General features: G+C 42.3%; 1 annotated feature.

Annotated features, from left to right (window-relative positions):
• Window positions 1-501: an enhancer, noted in NCBI's record as "H3K4me1 hESC enhancer chr4:153669773-153670273 (GRCh37/hg19 assembly coordinates)". NCBI's record gives its function as "activates a minimal SCP1, AML or CMV promoter by ChIP-STARR-seq in primed H9 embryonic stem cells {active_cell/tissue: H9 hESC(primed)}" and the evidence as "EXISTENCE:reporter gene assay evidence [ECO:0000049][PMID:30033119]".

Genomic DNA, 2,333 nt, shown 5'->3' on the forward strand with positions numbered 1-2,333 from the left:
TCTCCCTGCTCCCAGTGCCCGCTCTGATTTTGGAGCAAAGTTGAGGCTAAACCCAGGCACTGTTGTGACCCAGCTGGGTGTGCACGCACTCAGGGCAGTGCTGACTCACCAGCCCTTGCCACCTCAGCCCCCTCCGGACTTTGGGCACCGAGAAGCATGGGAGGGAGGCCGAGGGGTGGTGAGGGCAGCTCGGCACAGGCCTGCAGGCCCACCTCGACATGAACAGCCTGGGCACTGTGGGCTCGTGGACAGCAGGTTGATGGCGGTAGGGGGCAGACAGGTTCCTAGGCAGAAAGCAGTGGGTCCTGTTCTGTTCCATTGATCTATATCTCTGTTTTGGTACCAGTACCATGCTGTTTTGGTTACTGTAACCTTGTAGTATAGTTTGAAGTCAGGTAGCGTGATGCCTCCAGCTTTGTTCTTTTGGCTTAGGACTGACTTGGCGATGCAGGCTCTTTTTTGGTTGCATATGAACTTTAGTTTTTTCCAATTCTGTGAAGAAAGTCATTGGTAGCTTGATGGGGATGGCATTGAATCTGTAAATTACCTTGGGCAGTATGGCCGTTTTCATGATATTGATTCTTCCTACCCATGAACATGAAATGTTCTTCCATTTGTTTGTATTCTCTTTTATTTCCTTGAGCAGTGGTTTGTAGAACTCCTTGAAGAGGTCCTTCACATCCCTTGTAAGTTGGATTCCTAGGTATTTTATTCTCTTTGAAGCAATTGTGAATGGGAGTTCACTCATGATTTGGCTCTCTGTTTGTCTGTTGTTGGTGTATAAGAATGCTTGTGATTTTTGTACATTGATTTTGTATCCTGAGACTTTGCTGAAGTTGCTTATCAGCTTAAGGAGATTTTGGGCTGAGACAATGGGGTTTTCTAGATATACAATCATGTCGTCTGCAAACAGGGACAATTTGACTTCCTCTTTTCCTAACTGAATACCCTTTATTTTCTTCTCCTGCTTAATTGCCCTGGCCAGAACTTCCAACACTATGTTGAATAGGAGTGGTGAGAGAGGGCATCCCTGTCTTGTGCCAGTTTTCAAAGGGAATGCTTCCAGTTTTTGCCCATTCAGTATGATATTGGCTGTGGGTTTGTCATAGATAGCTCTTATTATTTTGAGATATGTCCCATCAATACCTAATTTATTGAGAGTTTTTAGCATGAAGCGTTGTTGAATTTTGTCAAAGGCCTTTTCTGCATCTATTGAGAGCCCTCAGAAATAACACCGCATATGTACAACTATCTGATCTTTGACAGACCTGAGAAAAACAAGCAATGGGGAAAGGATTCCCTATTTAATAAATGGTGCTGGGAAAACTGGCTAGCCATATGTAGAAAGCTGAAACTGGATCCCTTCCTTACACCTTATACAAAGATCAATTCAAGATGGATTAAAGACTTAAACGTTAGACCTAAAACCATAAAAACCCTAGAAGAAAACCTAGGCATTACCATTCAGGACATAGGCATGGGTAAGGACTTCATGTCTAAAACACCAAAAGCAATGGCAACAAAAGCCAAAATTGACAAATGGGATCTAATTAAACTAAAGAGCTTCTGCACAGCAAAGGAAACTGCCATCAGAGTGAACAGGCAACCTACAAAATGGGAGAAAATTGTTGCAACCTACTCATCTGACAAAGGGCTAATATCCAGAATCTACAATGAACTCAAACAAATTTACAAGAAAAAAACAAACAACCCCATCAAAAAGCAGGCAAAGGACATGAACAGACACTTCGCAAAAGAAGACATTTATGCAGCCAAAAAACACATGAAAAAATGCTCACCATCACTGGCCATCAGAGAAATGCAAATCAAAACCACAGTGAGATACCATCTCACACCAGTTAGAATGGCAATCATTAAAAAGTCAGGAAACAACAGGTGCTGGAGAGGATGTGGAGAAATAGGAACACTTTTACACTGTTGGTGGGACAGTAAACTAGTTCAACCATTGTGGAAGTCAGTGTGGGATTCCTCAGGGATCTAGAACTAGAAATACCATTTGACCCAGCCATCCCATTACTGGGTATATACCCAAAGGACTATAAATCATGCTGCTATAAAGACACATGCACACGTATGTTTATTGCGGCAGTATTCACAATAGCAAAGACTTGGAACCAACCCAAATGTCCAACAATGATAGACTGGATTAAGAAAATGTGGCACATATACACCATGGAATACTATGCAGCCATAAAAAATGATGAGTTCATGTCCTTTGTAGGGACATGGATGAAATTGGAAATCATCATTCTCAGTAAACTATCGCAAGAACAAAAAACCAAACACCGCATATTCTCACTTATAGGTGGGAA

Source organism: Homo sapiens, chromosome 4 (assembly GCF_000001405.40).
Source record: "Homo sapiens chromosome 4, GRCh38.p14 Primary Assembly".
In the NCBI taxonomy this organism is placed as follows: domain Eukaryota; kingdom Metazoa; phylum Chordata; class Mammalia; order Primates; family Hominidae; genus Homo; species Homo sapiens.